Consider the following 20,582-nt stretch of genomic DNA (forward strand, 5'->3'; position numbering starts at 1 on the left):
GCTTCTTGGCCATTTGTGTGTCTTCTTTGGAGAAATATCTATTCAGGTCAAACTTTTGCCCATTCTTTAATTGGGTTATTTGTCTATTTACTATTGGATTGTAAGAATTCTTTATATATATGCATATTACATATATAATCCCTTATCAATCAAGGGATTGACAAGATACAGTCCCTTGACAAATGTGAGGTCATGAGGACCTACTATGTTTTCTTTGAGATTTTATAGTATTGCTATTACATGTAGGTCTTTGATCCATTTTGAGTTAATTTTTGTATACGATATGAAGAAAGGGTTCAAACTTTATTCTTTCGTATGTGACTATCCAGCACTGTTTTTTTTTTTAAATTTTATTGATTTGTGTAAATTTATAGAGTTCAAGTATAATTTTGTTACATTGATATATTGCATAGCGGTAAAGTCAGGGCTTTTAGTGTATCCATCACTGGAGTAGCCTACGTTGTACTCATTAAGTAATTTCTCTTCATCCACCCCACTCTCACACTCCCCACCCTTCCAAGATTCCACTCTCTGTCATTCCATACTCTGCTTCCACATGTACTTGTTGTTTAGCTCCCACTTGGAAGAATAGGCAGTTTGTCTTTCTGCAGCACCATTTGTTAAAGAGGCTGTTCTTTTCCCCATTGATTGGTCTTAGTACCCTTGTAGAAAATCAGTTAGCCATAGATATATGGGTTTATTTCTGGATTCCCAATTCTATTTCATTGATCTATATGCCCACCTTATTCCAGGAAACACTTTTTTTTTTTTTTTTCTGAGATAGGTGTCTCTTTGTTGCCCAGGCTGGAGTGCATGCAGTGGTGCAATCTCGGCTCACTGCAACCTCCACCTCCTGGGCTCAAGTGGACCTCCTATCTCAGCCTACCAAGTAGCTGGAACTACAGGCACATGCCACCATGCCTGGCTAATTTTTGTAGGTTTTGTAGGGATGGAATCTCACCATGTTGCCCAGGCTGGTCTCAAACTCTTGGGCTAAAGCCATCTGCCCACCTCGGCCTCTCAATGTGCTGGGATTACAGGCGTGAGCCACCATGCCTGACTAGGAGACACTCTTTTGATTAATATTGCTTTATAGTAAGTTTTGAAATGGGGGAGTTCTCCAACTTTGCTTTCCTTTTTCAAGATATTTTAGCCATTCTGGAGCCCCTTGCAATTCCATATGAATTTTAGATTAGCTTGTCAGTTTCTGCAAAGAAGCCAGCTAGTATTTTGATAGAGATTGTGATGAATCTGTAGATCAATTTGGGAGTATGGTCATCTTGATATTAAATCATCTGGTCCTTTTTTTTGTTGTTGTTGAGATGGTGTCTTGCCCAGGCTGGAGTGCAGTGGTGCAATCTCAGCTCACTGAAACCTCTGCCTCCTGGGTTCAAGCAGTTCTCCTGCCTCAGCCTCCAGTAACTGGGATTACAGATGCACACCACCATCCCTGGTTTATTTTTGTATTTTTAGTGGAGACGGGGTTTCACCATGTTGACCAGGCTGGTCTCGAACTCCTGACTTCAAGTGATCCACCTGCCTTGGCCTCTCAAAGTGCTGGGATTGCAGGCGTGAGCCACCGTGCCTGGCCTAATCATCTGGTTCATGAACATGGGATATCCTTTCATTTATAGTTGTGTCAATTAATGATGAGGATACATTCTGAGAAATGTTTCATTACAGTATTTCATTGTTGTGCAAACATCATATAGTGTACGTACACAAACCTAGATGGCATAGCCTACTACACACCTAGGCTATATAGTCTAACTGTTTGCTCCTAGGCTACAAACCTGTACAGCATGTTACAGTACTGAATACTGTAGGCAGTTGTAACACTGTGGTAAGTATTTGTGTTGGATACGTTTGTGTATCTAACACAAATACTTAGAAAAGGTATAGTAAAAATATGGTATTTTACATATATATGTGTATATATATATGTGTATATATATGTGTATATATATGTGTATATATATGTGTGTGTATATATATATATGTGTATATATATATATATATATTTTTTTTTTTTTTTTTTTTTGAGACAGAGTCTCGCTCTGTCACCGAGGCTGGAGTGCAGTGACACAATCTCCGCCCACTGCAACCACCGCTTCCCAGGCTCAAGTGATTCTCATGTCAGCCTCCTGAGTAGCTGGGATTACAGGTGTGTGCCACCATGCCTGGCTAATTTTTGTATTTTTAGTAGAGATGGGGTTTTGTCATGTTGCCTAGGCTGGTCCCGAACTCCTGACTCAAGTGATCTGCCCACCTTGGCCTCCCAAAGTGCTGGGATTAGAGGTGTGAGCCACCATGCTGGGCCGGTATTATAATCTTATAGGACCACCATTATGTATGTGGTCTGTAGTTGATGGAAATGTTCTGATGTGGCATACAACTGTAATTAGATCTTCTTTAAATTTCAATAATGTTTTATAGTTTTCAGAATTGCACTTTTTTTCTTAAATTCTTCAAAATACTGTTTTTAATGGTATTGTCAGTGGAATTATTTTTCTTAATTGAATGTTTGGGTTATTCGTTGTAGATGTTTAAAAACACTTGATTTTTATATATATTAATATTGTTTCTGAATCTCTTCTGAACTTGTTTATTCATCCTAGTAGATTATTTGTGGGTTCTCTATGATTTTCTTGTAAAGATCATGTCAAGGGCAAATATATATAGCTTTATTTTTTCTTTCCAATCTGGATGCCTTTTATGTATTTATTTATGGCTAATTGCCCTGGCTAGAACCTTTAGTAAAATATTCAATAGGAGGGGTAAGAGTGTATATGCTTTTTTATTCCTGATCTTAGGGCAGGGGTGTCCAATCTTTTGGCTTCTCTGGGCTACATTGGAAGAATTGTCTTGGGCCACACATAAAATACACTAACAATAGCTGATGAGCTAAAAAAAATTGCAAAAATATAATGTTTTAAGAAGGTTTACGAATTTGTGTTGGGCCACATTCATGGTCCTCGGCTGTGGGTTGGACAAACTTGTCTTAGGGAGAAAGCATCCTGTCTTTTACCCCCGAGTATGATGTTAGTTGTGGGTTTTTAATAGATGCCCTTATCATATTGATGAAGTTTCTATCCCTAATTTCTTAAGTGTTTTTAATAATAATTTTGTCAAATTATTAATCGATGTATTACATTAATTGATATTAGGTTATTAAACCAGCCTTGTGAAAATAACTCACTTTGTCACAGTGTATAAACATTTTATGTGTTGCCTGTCATAGAAATACACACACACACACACACACACACACACACACACACGCTTGTATTTTGTTTAGAGTTATTCCATCTATATTTGTAAGATATATTGGTCTGTAGTTTTCTTTTGATGCTTTTGTCTGGTTTGGTATCAGGGTAATATTGACCTCATAAAGTGAATTGAAAGTATTCCTATTGGTTTTGGAAGAGTTTGTGAAGGACTGGCATTAATTCTTTGAAAGTTCGATAGGTTACATCAAATGGGTCTGAGCTCTTTTTTTTTTTTTTTTTTTTTGCAGGATGGGGCATAGTATTTTAATTACTAAATCACTCTTTTTTCTTCTTATGGGTCTATTCAGATTGTCCATTCTTTTTTTTTTTTTTTGAGACGGAGTCTTGCTCTGTCGCACAGGCTGGGGGTGCAGTGGCGCGATCTCAGCTCACTGCAAGCTCCGCCTCCCAGGTTCATGCCATTCTTCTGCCTCAGCCTCCCAAGTAGCTGGGACTACAGGCGCCTGCCACCACGCCTGGCTAATTTTTTGTATTTTTAGTAGAGACGGGGTTTAACCGTGTTAGACGGGATGGTCTCGATCTCCTGACCTCGTGATCCACCCTCCTCGGCCTCCCAAAGTGCTAGGATTACAGGCTTGAGCTACCGCGCCCAGCCTGGTTAGGCTCTGGTAAAATAGTTTGAGGGCAAGTTTTCTAAGAAGAACAAAATACTCTGGGAATATTCAAAATGGTTATCCCCAACCCCCTCCCCCTAACTGGGGGGTAGGTATTTTTCTCTCATCTTAACTGTGGTAACATGCTAGGGGTTGTGGAGATAAAACTTACAGAAGCATGGAGGCCCTTCATAAGACTGGTTTCCCTGCGGCTTTTAATTCTCAAAGTTGTCGCATTGCACCTCCAGCAATTTGTCAATTACACTAGATTTTTCTTCCCTAGTACTAGTTAGTTCCCACAGTGGTTTCTGTTCTTGGGATTCTGCTCTGGTAAGTTGTGATTCTCTGTGTATGTACCTCTCCAATTTTTGGAACAATAGTTTGCCCTTCATCTCAGTTCTCTGATGGATATAAGAAGAGTTTTGATTTTTTAGTTTGTTCAGCTTTTTTTTTTTATGATGGGGATGGGAGTGATTACTTCCAAGCTCTTTATATGCTTCACCAGACCTCTGTTTTGGGGTTTTTTTGTTTTGTTTTGTTTTTGAGATGGTGTTTCGCTCTTGTTGCCTAGGCTGGAATGCAATGGCATTATCTTGGCTCACTGCAACCTCTGCCTCCCGGATTCAAGTGATTCTCCTGCCTCAGCCTCCTGAGTAGCTGGGTTTACAGGCATATGCCACCACGCTCAGCTAATTATTTTTCTTGTATTCAGTAGAGATGGGATTTCACCATGTTAGGCTGGTCTCGATCTCCTGACTTCAGGTGATCCACCTGCCTCGGCCTCCCAGAGTGCTGGGATTACAGGCGTGCGGTTTTGCTTTTAAACAGACTTTATCTTTTAGGGCAGTTTTAGGTTCACAGCCACATTGAATGGGCAATACAGAGTTCCCATCTGTGCCCTGCCCCTCTCCATAGCCTCCCTCACTGTTAACATCCTGAATCAGAGATGTGTCTTTTGCAAATATTTTCTTCCAGTCTATAGCTTGTCTTTTTATTCTTTTGACAGTGTTTTTCACAAAGCAGAATAAGTTTTTAATTAAATCCAGCTTATCAATTATTTCTTTCATAGATTATATGCCTTTAGTATTGTATCCAAAAAGCCATCACCAAACCCAAGGACATCTAGATTTTCTCCTATGTTATCTTCTAGGAGTTTTATACTTTTGCACTTTGCATTTAGGTCTTTTTATACTTTTGCACTTTGAATTAATTTTTGTGTGTGAAGGATGTCAGATCTGTTTCTGGGTTCATTGTTTTGCATGTAAATGTCCAGTTGTTCCAGCACCATTTGTTGAGAAGACTTTCTCCATTGTATTGCCTTCGTTTTTTGGTCAAAAAATCAATTGAATACATTTATATGGGTCTATTTCTGGGCCTTCAATTCTGTTTTATTGATCAATGTGTCTATTTCGTTGATACATGCTGTCTTTATTACTGTAGCTTTATGGTAAGTCTTGAAGTTAGGTAGTGTCAGTCCTCCAATTCGGAGTCTTTTGCCCCTCCATATAAACTTTAGATTGAATTCATTGATGTGTATTAAAAATTGCTGGGATTTTGATTGGGATTGCGTTGATCTTAATAGATCAAGTTGGGAAGAACTGACATCTTGACAATATTGAGTATTTCATGAAGTTGAAATACCTTCTCATTTATTTAGTTCTTTGATTTCATTCATCGAGTTTTATAGTTTTCCTCATATAGATCTTACATGTATTAAGTTAGATTTATACCTAAATATTTTATTTCTTGGGTTGTTAATGTAAATGGTATTATTGTACTTTTAACTTCAAATTCCACTTGATTGCTGGTATACAGGAAGTGATTGACTTTTATATATTAACCTATATTCTGCAGTTTTGCTAGTTTTACTTATTAATTCCAGGAAAGTTTTGTCAGTTCTTTTGGATTTTCTTTTTTTTTGAGATGGAGTCTGGCACTGTCACCCGGGCTGGAGTGCAGTGGTGTGATCTCAGCTTACTGCAACCTCTGCCTCCCGGGTTCAAGCGATTCTCCTGCCTCAGCCTTCTGAGTAGCTGGGATTACAGGCGCCTGCCACCATGCCTGGCTAATTTTTGTTTTTTTTGTATTTTTAGTAGAGATGGAGTTTCACTATGTTGGCCAGGCTGGTCTCAAACTCCTGACCTTGTGATCTGCCCTTCTCAGCCTCCCAAAGTGCTGGGATTACAGGCGTGAGCCACTGCGCCTGGCCTGGATTTTCTGTATAGACAGACAGTCATGTCATCTGCAAACAGAGTTTTATTTCCTCCTTCCCAGACTGTGTACCTTTTATTTCCTTTTCTTGTCTTATTGCATTAGCTATGACCTCCAATACACTGTTGGACAGTGGTGAGAGGGTGTATTATGTCGTCATTGTGTTGCTATGAAGAAACACCTGAGGCTGGGTAAGTTACAATGAAAAGAAGTTTAATTGGCTCATGGTTCTGCAGAGTATGAGAAGCTTGGTGCCAGCATCTGCTTCTGGTGAGCTTACAATCATGGTGGAAGGTGAAGTGGGGGCAGGCGTCTCACATGGCGAGAGCAGAAGCCAGAGAGCAAGGGAGGAGGTGCCACTCTTTTAAACAACCAGGTCTTGTGTGAACTTAGAGTGAGCGCTCACTTATCACTAAGGGAATGGTGTTAAACTAATCATGAAGGATCTGCCCCCATGATCCAGTCACCTTGTACCAGACCCCACCTCCAACACTGGGGATTACATTTCAATATGAGATTTGAAAGGGACAGATATCCAAATCATATCAGAGAGGGAATCCTTGCCTTGTTCTTGATCTTAGAGGCAAAGCTTCGAGTTTCATTAGGTATGATATTAGTTGTAGGATTTTTTGTAGATACTCTATGTCAAGTTGAGAATATTCCCCTCTATTCCTATTTTAATGAGAATATCGTGAAGAGGTTGTCAAATGTTTTTTCTGCATCTGTTATATGATCATGTGGTTTTTCTTCTAAAGCTTGTCAACATGATGGATTATATTAATTGTTTTTTTTTTTTTTTTTTTGAGACAGGGTCTGGCGTTGTCACCCAGGCTAGAGTGCAGTGTTGCCATCTTGGCTCACTGCAACCTCTGCCTCCAAGGCTCAAGCCGTCCTCCTACTTCACCCTCCTGAGTAACTGGGACCACAGGCATGTGCCACCATACCAGGCTAATTTTTGTATTTTTTTTAGAGGTGGCAGAGGGGGGTCTCACTTTGTTGCCCAGGCTGGTCTCGAACTCCTGAGCTCAAGTGATCTGCTCACCTTGGCCTCTCAAAGTGCTGGAATTACAGGTGGGAGCCACTGTGTCCAGCCTTAACTGACTTTTGAATGTTGAATCAAGTTTGCGTACGTGGGATAAACCCACTTGTCATGATGTACAATACTTTTGTACATTGTTAAATTTGATTTGCTAATATTTTGCTGAGAATTTTTACATTGATATTCATGGGAGATAATGGTCTGTTGTTTTCTTTTTTGGTAATATGTTTGTCTGGTATTGGCAGTAGGGTAATACAGACTTCATAGAATGATTAAGAAGTATTCTCTCTGATTCTGTCTTCTGAGAGATTTTAGAGAACTGGTACAATTTCCTCCTTCAGGGTTTGGTAGCATTACCAGTGAACCTGTCTGGGTCTGGTGCTTTCTGTTTTAGAAGGCTATTAATTTATGATTCAGTGTTTCGAATAGATATAGGCCTCTTCATTTTGTCTATTTTTGTGTCAGATTTGACAGATTATCTTTTTTAAGAAATCGTTCATTTTATCTAGGCTATCAAATTTGTGGGCATAGAGTTGTTTATAGTGTTCCTTTATTATCCTTTTAATGTCCATGAGATCTGTTGTGATGTCCTCTCTTTCTTTTTTCTTTTTTTTGAGACAGAGTCTTGCTGTGTCACCGAGGCAGGAGTGCAATGGCGCAGTCTCCCTCACTGCAACCTCTGCCTCCTGGGTTCAAGCGATTCTTGTGCCTCAGCCACCTGAGTAGCTGGGATTATAGGTGTGTGCCACTATGCCCGGCTAATTTTTGCATTTTTAGTAGATTTAGGGTTTCGCCACTTTGGCCAGGCTGGTCTCAAACTCCTGGCCTCAAGTGATCTGCCCACCCTGGCCTTCCAAAGTGCTGGGATAACAAGAGTGAGCTACCATACCTGGCCTCATTTTTGATGTTCATAATTTGCATCCTTTATCTTATTTTATTAGCCTGGCCAGAGGTTTATTGATTTTATTGATCTTTTCAAAAGAACCAGCATTTAAGCTTTTACTGATTTTCTCTCTTTATTTGCTATTCTCAATTTCATTGATTTCTGCTCTACTTTTTATTTATTTTCTTCTCCTCACTTTAAATATGATTTATTCTTCTTTTTCTAGTTTCCTAAGTTGGAAGCTTTGATAATTGATTTCAGATTTTTTTCCTAATATATACATTCGGTGTTATAAATTTCCCAGTAAGCACTACTTTTGCTGCATCACAAATTTTGATAAGTTGTATTCTTACTTTCATTTAGTTGAAATATTTTTAAATTTCTTTTGAGAGTTTTTATTTGACCCACATGCTATTTAGAAATACACTGTTTAACCTCTTAAGTATGTTGGGATTTTCCAGCTATTTTTCTGTTATTGATTTCTAGTTTATTTTTTCCTTTATTGTATATATTTATACATCATGATGTTTTGATATACATATACCTAGTGAAATGGTTGCCATAGTCAAGCAAATTAACATATTCGTGATCTCACATAGTTACTGCCTTTTTTTTTTTGTGGCAAGAGCTTCTAAAATCCTTTTAGCAAGAATCCTAAATATAATACAATATTATTAACTATAGTACTTATATTTTACGTTGAATTGCTAAACTTGCTGATCCATCATACCTGCAACTTTGAATCCTCTGACCTGCATCTCCCCATTTCCTCCCCTGTTCCTCACTTCTACTTCTTTGTACTTGACTTTAAAAAATAGATTTCATATGTAAGTGAGATCATGCAGTATTTTTCTATCTTCCAGGTTTATTCATGTGACAAATGGCAGGATCACCTTCCTTTTTAAGGTTGAATAATATTCCTCCCCCTTCCCCTCCTCGTGTGTATGTGTGTGTGTGTTATGTGTGTGTGTGTGTGAGTGTGAGTGTATGTGTGTGTGTCTTGTAGTTTATTCATTCATCAATGGATGCTGTAGTTGTGTTCGTGGCTATTGTGATAATGCTGCAGTGAACATGGGAGTGCAGGTATCTGTATGAGGTGGTGGTTTCATTTTCTTTAGGTTTTTACCCAGAAATGGAATTGCTAGGTCATACAAGAAAAGTAGTCCTTTTCTTTCTTTTCTTTCTTTCTCTCTCTCTTTTTTTTTTTTTTTTTTTTTAAGACAGAATCTCGCTCTGTTGCTCAGGCTGGAGTACAGCGGTGTGTTCTCAACTCACTGCAACCTCCGCCTCCCGAGTTCAAGCGATTCTTGTGTCTCAGCCTCCTGAGTAGCTGGGGTTACAGGTGTGCACTACCCTGCCTGGTTAATTTTTGTATTTTTAATAGAGGCGGGGTTTCGTCATGTTGGCCAAGCTGGTCTCAAACTCCTAACCTCAGTGATCCTCCCACCGTGTTTGGATTACAGGCACGAGCCACCGCGCCCAGTCGTAGTTCTATTTTTAATTACTTTAGAAAACTTTATACTGTTTTCCGCAATTGCTGCACTGGTTTACATTGCCACCAGCAGTGTACAAGGGTTCTCTTTTTTCCACACCCTTGCCAACACTTATCTCTTGAATCTTTTTGTTTTTTAAATAATAGCCATCCTAACAAGTGTGAGATGATATTTCATTTTGGTTTTAATTTGCATTTCCCTGATGATAGTAATATTGAATATCTTTTCATATGCTGATTGGCCATTTTTCTTTTCTTTTTTTCTGTTTTGGAGAAATGTTTGTTCAGGTCCGTTGCCCATTCTAAAATTAGGTTGTTTGTTTTTCTTCTACTGAGTTGCACAAGTTCTTTATATATTGTGGAAACTGACTCCTTATCAGATATATGGTTTGCAGATATTTTCTCATCTGTAGTAGACTGTCTTCTCATTTTGTTGATTGTTTACTTAGATGTGAAACTCTTTAGCTTGATTTAGTTCTATTTATTTATTTTTGCTTTTGTAGCCTGAGCTTTTGTTGTGATATCCAAAACAACATTGCCAAGACAAGTGTCAAGGAGTTTTTCCCATATATTTTCTTCTAGGTTTATGGTTTTAAGTCTTCATGTTGAGTTCTTTAATCAACTTTGAGTTGATTTTTGCTGGTGGTGTAAGATAAAGGTCCAATTTCATTCTTTTGCATGAGGAAATTTAATTTTCTCAGCACCATTATTTGAAGAGATCTTCTATTCCCTATTGTGTCTTCTTGGTGCCCTTGTCAAAAATTAGCGAATCATATATGCTTGGGTTTATTTTTCTCTCTCTATTCTGTTCCATTGGTTTACATGTCTACTTTTTATGCCAGTACCACACTGTTTGGGTTACTATAACTTTGTAATATAATTTGAAACCAGGAAGTGTGCTTCCTCCAACTTTGTTTTTGTCTTACAGAATTACTTTGGCTCTTTAGAGTCTTTTGTGGTTCTATATGAATTTTAGATTTTTTTTTCTATTTTTGTGAAAAATGCCATTGGCATTTTCATAAGGATTGTGTTGACTTTGTATTGCTTTGGATAGTACATACATTTTAACAATATTAATTATTTCAGTCTGTGAACATGGAATATCTTTCTATTTATTTGTGTCCTTAATTTCTTTCATTAGTATTGTAGTTTTCAGTAGACAGATCTTTTGCCTTCTTGGTTACATTTATTTCTAAGTCTTTTTATTTTGTTTTTTGATGCTATCATAAGTGGGATGGTTTTCTTGATTTCTTTTTCATATAAGTAGTTATTTGTGTACAGAAGTGCAACTGATTTTCATATATTGATTTTGTATCCTGCGGCTTTACTGGGTTTATTCTTTTTTCTTTTTGAGACAGAGTCTCACTCTGTTGCCCAGGGTGGAGTGCAGTGGCTCGATCCCTGCTCACTGCAACCTCCACCTCCTGGGTTCAAGTGATTCTCCTGCCTCAGCTTCGCAAATAGCTAGGACTACAGGCGCGCTGCCACACCTGGCTAATGTTTACATTTTTAGCAGAGATGGGGTTTCACCATTGCTGGTCAGGGTGGTCTCAAACTCCTGACCTCAAGTGATCCACCCGCCTTGGCCTCCCAAAGTGCTGGGATTACAGGTGTGAGCCACTGTGCCTGGCCTATTCATTCTAACAGTGTCGATTTTAGTCTTTGGGGGTTTTCAGTATATAGGACTTTTTCCTTTCAATTTATATTTCTTTTTCTTGCCTAATCGCTTTAGTAGGATTTCCAGTGCTATGTTGAGTAGAAGGGTGAGAGCAAGCATCTTTGTCTTGCTTCTGATCTTAGAGGAAATGTTTTCAGTTTTTCACCATTGAGTATGATATGAGCTGTGGGACATACAGCTTTTATTATGTTGAGGTAGTTTTCTTCTGTTTATAGTCTGTTGACTTTTTTTTTTTTTAAATAATGAAAGGGTGTTGAATTTTGTGAAGTGCTATTTCGGTTTCATTTGAGATGATCATGTGGTTTTTGTCCTTCCATTAATGTGGTGTATTACATTGATCAATTTTTGTATGTTGAACCATCCTTGTATTCCACGAATTCCACTTGGTCATGGTGTGTAATCCTTTTAACGTACTGCTGAATTCTTATTGGTAATATTTTGTTGAGGATTTTTACATCAATAGTCGTCGGGGATACTGGTTTATAGTCTTCTAATGTCTTTGTCTGACTTTGGTATCAGGATAATGCTGGCCTCATAGAATGATTTGGAATGTTCCCTCCTGTGCAATTTTTTGGGATTGTTTCAGGAGGATTGGTGTTAATTCTTCTTTAAATGTATGGTAGAATTCTCCAGTGAAGCTTTCTTGTCCTGGACCTTTTTTTTTTTTTTTTTTTTTTTTTTTTTTGAGACAGGGTCTTACTTTGTCACCCAGGCTGGAGTGCAGTGGTGCAATCTCAGCTCACTGCAACCTCTGCCCTCCAGGCTCAAGCAGTCCTCCTACCTCAGCCTCCCAAGTAACTGTTACCACAGGCAAGCACCACCATGTCCAGCTATTTTCGTTGTATTTTTAGTAGAGACAGGATCTCACCATGTTGCCCAGGCTGGTCTCTAACTCCTGAGCTCAAGCATTTCTCCTGCCTTGGCCTCCCAAAGTACTGGGATTACAGGTGTGAGCCACTGCGCCTGGCCATGGGCTTTTCTTTTGTGGGAGGTTTTGGATTATTGATTCAATTTCCTTGTTGTTGGTCTGTTGAGATTTTCTTATTTTTTCATGTTACTCAGTCTTGGTAGGCTGTGTGTTTCTAGGAATTGATCTGTTTCTTCTAGGCTGTCCAATTAGTTGGAGTACAGTTGTTCATAGTATTCTCCTATGATCCTTTTTATTTCTATGGCATTGGTTGTCATGTCCCCTCTTTCATTTCTGAATTTAGTTATTTGAGGCCTTTTTTTTTCTCAGTCAGTCTAGCTAAAGGTTTGTCAGTTTTGTTTATATTTTCAAATAACTATTGGTTTTCTTGATTTTTTTCCTACTGTTTTTCTATTCTCTTTTCTTTATCTTTGCTCTAATCTTATTTTTTCCTTCTGATCACTTTGGGTTTAGTTTCTTTTTCTAGTTCTTCAAGGTGTAATGTTAGATTATTGACATGAATTTTTTTTTTTAAATATAGGCATTTACGACTGTAGATTACCTTCTTAGTCCTACTTTTGCTACATTCAATAAGCTTTGGTATTTTGTGCTTTAATTTTTGTCTTAATGTATTATTTCCTTTGTTACTTCTGTCGTGACCCATTGTCTTTTTAAGAGTTTGTTGTTTAATTTCTATAAATTTCTTGATTTTCCACTTTTCTTTCTGCAGCTACCTTCTAGTTTCATTCTGTTGTGATCAGAAAAGATACCTAATACTTTGTGGCCAACATGTGGTGTATCCTGGGGAATGTTTCACGTGCACTTGAGAAGAATGTATATTGTGCTGTTGTTGGGTGGAGTGTTCTGTATATGTATGTTAGGTCCAATTGGTCTGTAGTGCTGTTCAGGTCTTTTCTTTCCTTATTGATCTCATTCTATCCATCATGGAAAGTTGGTTATTGAAGTCTCTCACTGTTTTTGGAGAGCTCCCTTCAATTTTATCAATGTTTGCTTTAAGTATTTAGGAGCTCCAATGTCTGACACATATATAATTATTATATCTTATTTGTGCATTGACCCCATAGTGTTCTCCTTTGTCTATGGTATCAGTTTTGTTTAAAAATGTATTTTCTCTGATATTAGTGTTGCCGCTATTGCTCTCTTTTGGTTACCATTTGCATGGAATATCTTTTTGAATCTTTTTACTTAGAGCCTGTGTGTGTCCTTAGTTCCAAAGTGTCTTTTAAACAGCATATAGTTGGGTCCTGTTTTTTAATCCTATGGGTTTTTTTTTTTTTTTTTGGTAATTTCTTTGTCCTTTCATAGCTTGTTTTTCATTTCCTCCCCTTCTTTCTTTGTGTTTAGTCAATTTTTTTGGTAGGGATATATTTTGATTCTCTTATTTCCTTTTGTGTATATTCTGTAGCTATTTTCATTGTAGTTACCATGAGAATATCATAAAACTCCTTAGGAGGATAACAACCTGTTTAAACTAGTAACAACTTCACTTCAATCACATATAAAAACTCTAGTCCTTTATAGCTTTGCCCCCCAACCTCCACCTCCCGGGTTCAAGTGGTTCTCCTGTCTTAGTCTCCCAAGTAGCTGGGACTACAGGCACAGGCCACCATGCCTGACTAATGTTTACATTTTTAGCAGAGATGGGGTTTCGCCATTGTTGGCCAGGCTGGTCTCAAACTCCTGACCTCAAGTGATCCACTTGCCTTGCCTCCCAAAGTGCTGGATTACAGGCATGAGCCACCGCACCTGGCCAAAGTTATTAGTACCCTGTTAACAACATTTTACTGGTGTCACAAGTAACATGTTTATATATTGTTTAACCATTAACATACTTTCTTAGTTTGTTTTCTCTTGCTTATAACAATACTTGAAACTGGGTAGTTTATTTTAAAAAGTTATGGAGGCTGAGAAATCCAAGGTCAAGGGTGAGGGCCTGATGAGGGCCTTCTTGCTGATGGGGACTCTGCAGAATCCTGAGGTGGTGCAGGGCACATGGTGAGGGGGTTGGGCATGCTAGCTCAGGTCTCTCTTCCTCTTCTTATAAAGCTACCAGTCCACTCTCATGATAAGCCATTAATCCATTAATCCATCAAGTCATTAAGCCGTTCAGATCTGCCCTCATGATTAATTCATTCATGAGAGCCCAGATCCCTGATGACCCAGTCACCTCTGAAAGGTTCTACCTCTCAGTACTGCCACATTGCGGATTAAGTTTTAACATGAGTTTTAGAGGGGACAGATACTCAAATCATAGCATGTAGATTTATAGTTAATTTTTATGCTTTTGTCTTTTAAATCCTATAAAAGAATTAAGGTGGAGTTACTCACCAGAATTAAAATAATGTTTTTATATTTGTCCATATATTTACCTTTACCAGAGAACTTTATATTTTCCTATGGCTTAAAGTTACTATCTAGCATCCTTTAATTTCAGCTTGAAGGACTGCCATTAGCATTTCTTCCAGGTGAGGTCTAGTGGTAATGAACTCTCTCAGCTTTTGTGAATGTTTTAATTTTCCCTTTTACAGGTGCATGCCATCATGCCCAGCTAATTCTTGTATTTTTAGTAGAGACGGGGTTTTGCTATGTTGGCCAGGCTGGTCTGGAACTCCTGACCTCAGGTAATCCTCCTGCCTTGGCCTCCCAAAGTGCTGGGATTACAGGTGTGAGCCACTGTGCACCTTGTATCTTTCTTTGTCTGTTCGAGGATCTGAGATACTATTTTAAAGTCCTTTGGAAGTATAGTTTGTAATCGGATTTTTAGTAAGAGGGTTATTTTTTTTTTCTCTTTGTGTGCATTCTTCTCTACCTGCTCTTTTTGTGGTTGTTTCTGCTTTGTCCTTTATGGCATCTTCTTTAGAAGGAAATCTTATATTGGAAGCTCTGGGTTCTTATTCTTCAGGGTTATTGGGAAAAATCTCAAGAACCAGTCCCTGAACCAGTGGGTGGCTTGACCAGGTCATTTTTGTTTTATTGCCTGTAATCTGTCCATTTGTGTTCCTTCAGCCTTTGGCTATGGTCACAACGTTTATTGCCTTCTTTCACTAGTAGGAGAGCGCTGCTCCAACCCCTTACTTCACAAAATGATTCTGACTTTTGTTCCCACTTCTTGTGCTATGAGTTGATTTCAGTCCCTATTATTGGGGTTGATTTTTAACTGTCTCAACCAGTAAGATTTAAAAATAGACAACTTGCTTGTTTCTGTTTGCTGCTTTTACCTCTATGGGTAAAGGAGGTTAAGGAACTGCTGTGGTTTATGCAAAAGTATGCTGTGTCCTAACTGAGTAACCTTAAGGATAATAGCTTGTATAATGGTTGTGAAATCAAAATGTCGTATATGTGAAAGGGCTTTATAAACTGGGAAGTATGGTCTAAATATTAGTTTATTTTTGTTGTATAATCATAGTGATTGTGTTATTACTCTATTTAAGCCTGCTTTTGATTTTCAGATTGTTCCATTGACCTGTCATGTATGGCAACAGATAGTATATCAAGGCAATAGTAGAACACAAATTTCTGATACTAATGTGGTCTGTTTGGAAACAACAGCTCAGCGGGGTTCTGGGGATGATCAGGTATGTCTTCTGTAACTGGCTAACTTTTTTTTTTTGATAAGCAGCACAAGAAATTCTGATTTAGCTATGAAGAATGGAAAAATAAATTAATATTCATTAATATTATGTTTTCTTGTCTTTTTTTTTTTTTTTTTTTTTTTTTTAAGACAGGGTCTCACTCTGTCACCCAGGCTGGAGGGCAGTGGCATGATCATAGCTTACTGCACCCTCCAACTTCTAGGATCAAGTGATCCTCCTGCCTGAGCCTCTTGAGTAGCTGGGACTACAGACATATACCATCAAACCCACCTAATTATTTTTAAAAAATTTTTTATAGATGGAGTCTCGCTTTGTTGCCCAGGCTGGTCTTGAGCTCTTGGCCTCAAATGATCCTTCGCCTTGGCCTCCCAAAGTGCTAGGATTACAGGAGTGAGCCACCACTCTTGGCCAAATATTCTATTTTTCTAATAGATTGTTGTAAACTTTATGTATATGTAGAAGAGCAGTTCACTTTTTTTGAAGGCGGGTCTCAGGACTCTTATTTTTATTTTTAGTTTAAAAATTTTTTATAGAGATGGGAGTCTCTGTGTTTACTGGGCTGGTCTCTCATTCCTGGCCTTAAGTGATCCTCTTGCCTCGGCCTCCTAAAACTATGAGATTACAGGCATGAGCCACTGTGCCTGTCCTCAGGACTCTTTATATTCTTCACAAGTATTCTTAAGAGCTTTTGTTTATGTGGATTATCTATATAGATATTTAGCATACAAGAAATTAAAACATTTAAAACTATTTTAAAATTTATTTTGAAAGAACAAACCTATTACATATTACCATAAATAGTATATTTTAAAGTAAAAAATGACTGTTTTCCAAAACAAAAAAATTAGTTGGAAGAATAGCATTGTTTAAATTCCGGCTTACTAGAACTCAGTTGGTATATTATTCAGGGTTCTCCAGAGAAACAGAACCAATAGGTTGGAGATAGATACATCTATCTATTTATACACATCTGTGTGTATGTGTATATATATATCTTTATTGATATTTATTATATAGAATTGGCTTATGTGATCATGAAGACTGAGAAGTCCCAAGATCTGCAAGCTGGAGCCCCAGGAGGGCTGATGGTATAGTTCCAATTCAAGTCCAAAGGCTTGAGAACCAGGAGCACCAGTGATGTAAGTTTTGATCTGAATCTGCAGGTAGAATACCCTCCAGCTGGAAGACCATCAGGCAGAGAGAACACATTCTCTCTTGCTCAGCCTTTTGTTGTATTTAGGCCTTCAAGGTACTGGATCAGGCCTACCCACATTGGAGAGGGTAACCTGCTTTACTTAGTTTCCAGATTCAAATGTTAATCTCATTCATACACACCTCACAGGCCAGGAACAGTGGCTAACGCCTGTAATCCCAGCACTTTGGGAGGCTGAGGTGGGTGGATCACCTGAGGTCAGGAGTTCAAGACCAGCCTGGCCAACATAGTGAAACACTGTCTCTACTAAAAATACAAAAATTAGCCAGGCGTGGTGGTGCACACCTGTAATTGCAGCTACTTGGGAGGCTGAGGCAAGAGAATCGCTTGAACCCAGGAGGTGGAGGTTGCAGTGAGCTGAGGTTGCGCCACTGCACTCCATCCTGGGCGATGGAGCAAGACTTGTCTCAAAAAAAAGCAAAAAAACCCAAGAAAACAAAACAAAAAATACCACACACATACACACACCTCACAGACGTATCCAAAATTGTGTTTAACCAAGTATCTGGACACTCCATGATCCAGTCATTTTGATACATAAATTACCTATCATAGCTGGATTCTCAGTCTGCTCTGCATTTCATTTGTTGGGATGTATTGTTTTGGTTGAAGTATATGAAGACAATCTTGCCTTACATAGATGAAAAAGGAGTTAGGGAAAGGAGGCTGTCATTCAGTCCCTGAAAGGGTGTCAGTGACCCTCAGGGATTTTTGGACTACACTTTGAGAACCACTTTTCTAGAACATAGTTATAAACTTTGAAGAAATGAAACGATCATGAGCAGATAGGAAAAAAGCTCATGTAGAGTTATTGGAGGAAAAATGTTATTAGTGTTACTAATAATGGTTAAATATTTAAGGTTGATTAATAACTTGAGTATCAGATTTCTCCTATTACCTTCAGTTTTCTTTAAATTGCAGTGATTACCTGTTAGATGCAAGATATGGAGGAAGGGAGATACACTATCACTGAGGCAAAGTAGTTAAGACAATCCCTGACCATAAAAAACATAGTACCTGGGGCCATTAAATGGAAGAGGATTGTTTTGGGTCGAATTGTGCCCTCCCAAATTATATGTTGCAGTCCTAATCCCCAATACCTCAGAATGTGACCTTATTGGTGATTGCAGGTGTAATTATTTAAGCTCACACTGGAGTAGGGTTTGCTCTTAATCCAATCTAACTGGTGTCCTTATGAAAGAGGAAAGCACCATGTGAGGAGAAAAACATACAAGGAGAAGATGGCCGTGTGAAGATGGAGGCAGAAATTGGAATTATGCTGCCACATCCAGGGAATGCCTGGGGCTTCCAGAAGGTAGAAGTAGCAAGGAAGGACCCTCCCCTAGGGGCTTCAGAGGGAGCATGACCCTGCCAACACCTTGATTTCAGACTTCTGGCCTCCAGAACTGCGAGATAATAAATTTCTGTTGTTTTAAGCCACTTAGTTTGTGTCACTTTGTTATAGCAGCCCTAGGAAACTAATACCGGGTCATATTTCTAAATAATATTCTCTGAGGGCATATTTTTGGTAGAGCACAGTCCAAAAATTGATGTCTTCCTTTTTTTCCTGTTTCACACAATACGAACCATGATGGACCCTAAAGCACTTCATTTCATCCTTTACGCCTGGGTTCGTCAGAATAGCTGGAATATTATGCCGCTTTCTAGTTCACTTCCTTCTTATTCTTTCGTCGTTCATCTTTGTTACTGTCATCTGAGTTACCTTTATTTATTCATGGAAAACTAGCTCTTGCTACATTGTCTTCCTCTCTTTTATTGGTTTCTTTCACTTCAGCATACATTTCCCATTCAGTGCCTGAAGTTCTCATATATTTCATCTAATCTCCAGTGATCTTTACTTCCGTACCTCCTTCCAGTCTTCTCCTACCTGTATGTAGTTACTCATCCCATGATCACAGTCTATCTAGACTTTGTCATCACCAGCTACTTTACTACAAATGTCTCGTCCTCTCTTCCCTTCCGGCTACTGCTTCGGTCAATATTCTGCTCCCTGTTACAGTGAAATTTTCAAGAGTTGTCTATACATTTTCTGTTTCTGTTTCCTGATATCCTATGCTCATTTTTAAAAAGTCAGGTTTATTGTAGGTATAGGTTAAACATATCAAAATTTACTCTCTTAGGTGTACAGTTTGTCAAGTGAGCTTTGACATACGTATACAGTCATGCAGTCACCACCACATTTGAGATAGACAGCACTGCCTTCACAAAAAGGAACGTCACAAAAAGTTCCTGTGTGCCCCTTTGTAGTCAGTCACTTCCCCAACTCCTAGTCCCTGGCAACTACTTATCCAATTTCTTTCTCTTTAGTTTTACCTTTTCAGAATAATACGGTGTGTAGACTTTTGAATTTGACTTCTTTCACTTGGCTTAGCTTTTGAGATTTATCCATGTTGTTGCATGTATCAATAATTTGTCCACTTTAATTTTTATTACTGAGTAGTATTCCATTTGTGTGTAGGTTTTTCGGTAGACATACTGCTTCATTTCTCTTGGCAAATACCTAGGAATGGCTGGACGTGGTGGCTCACGCCTGTAATCCCAGCACTTTGGGAGGCCGAAGTGGGTGGATCACTTGAGGTCAGGAGTTTGAGACCAGCCTGGCCAATATGGTGTAGTAGAAACCCCGTCTCTACTAAAAATATAAAAATTAGCCAGGTGTGGTGGCACATGTCTGTAATCCCAGCTACTCGGGAGGCTGAGGCAGGAGAATCGCTTGAACCTGGGAGGCAGAGGTTGCAGTGAGTCAGGATGGCGCCAGTGCACTCTGGCCTGGGTGACAGAATGAGACTCTGTCTCAAAAACAAAAAACAAAAAACAAAACCCTAGGAATGGGTTTGTTGAGTGATAAGGTAATTGTATGTTTAACTTTATAAGAAAGTACCAAACTGTTTTTCCAAAGTGGCTGTACCATTTTGTATCCCAGTAGTATATGAGAGTTCTGATTGCCCTGCATTCTTGGCAGCTGTTGGTATCATCAGTTTTTTCTTTTTTTCTTTTTTTTTTTTAATTTTAGACACCCTAGGAGATGTATTATTGGTGTCTCACTGTGATTTTAACATTCATTTCTCTAATGACTAATGATATATAGCATCTTTTTGTGTGCTTATTTGCCCTCCATGTTTCTTCTTCAGTGAGAGATCTGTTAAAATCTCTGCCTGATTTTTTGTGGCTGGTTTGTTTCATTTTTTGAGCTTTGGGAGTTCTTCATAGCTCTAGATGCAAGTCCTTTATCAGTTGTTTCTTTTGCAGAGACAGTCTGTGGCATGTTTTTGTATTCTCCTGTCTTTGAAAGGCAGAAGTTTTAATTTTGATGAAACTTGTTTATTGATTTTTTTTCCTTTTTTGGTTTATATTTCTTGTGTACTATCTGAGAAATCTTGGCCTAATCCTATGTCACTGAGATTTTTCTTCTATGTTTTCTTCTAGACCAGGGTTTCTCAGCCTTGGCACTATTGACATTTTGGGTTGAATAATTCTTCATAGTGGGGGTCTGTCCTGTGTGTCCTAAAATGTTTAACAGCATTCCTGGCCTCTTCCCACTAGATACCAGTAATAGTCCCCCAATTTGTAACCATCCGGAATGCTTTCTGACATTGCCAAATGTTCCATGGTTGAAGGGAGAGGCGTGTCAAAATCTCTCC

The 20,582-nt window shown here is 38.5% G+C and overlaps 1 protein-coding gene across 2 annotated transcripts in view; it reads left to right on the forward strand.

Moving 5' to 3' along the window:
- ALMS1 (ALMS1 centrosome and basal body associated protein) overlaps positions 1 to 20,582 on the forward strand; it is a 224,162-nt gene that overhangs the window by 7,301 nt on the left and 196,279 nt on the right. For both annotated transcript variants that reach the window (NM_015120.4, NM_001378454.1), the window contains 1 exon segment: positions 15,564 to 15,689. In NM_015120.4, coding sequence (NP_055935.4) covers positions 15,564 to 15,689 — 126 coding nt within the window.

This window comes from Homo sapiens, chromosome 2 (genome assembly GCF_000001405.40).
Source record: "Homo sapiens chromosome 2, GRCh38.p14 Primary Assembly".
In the NCBI taxonomy this organism is placed as follows: Eukaryota; Metazoa; Chordata; class Mammalia; order Primates; family Hominidae; genus Homo; species Homo sapiens.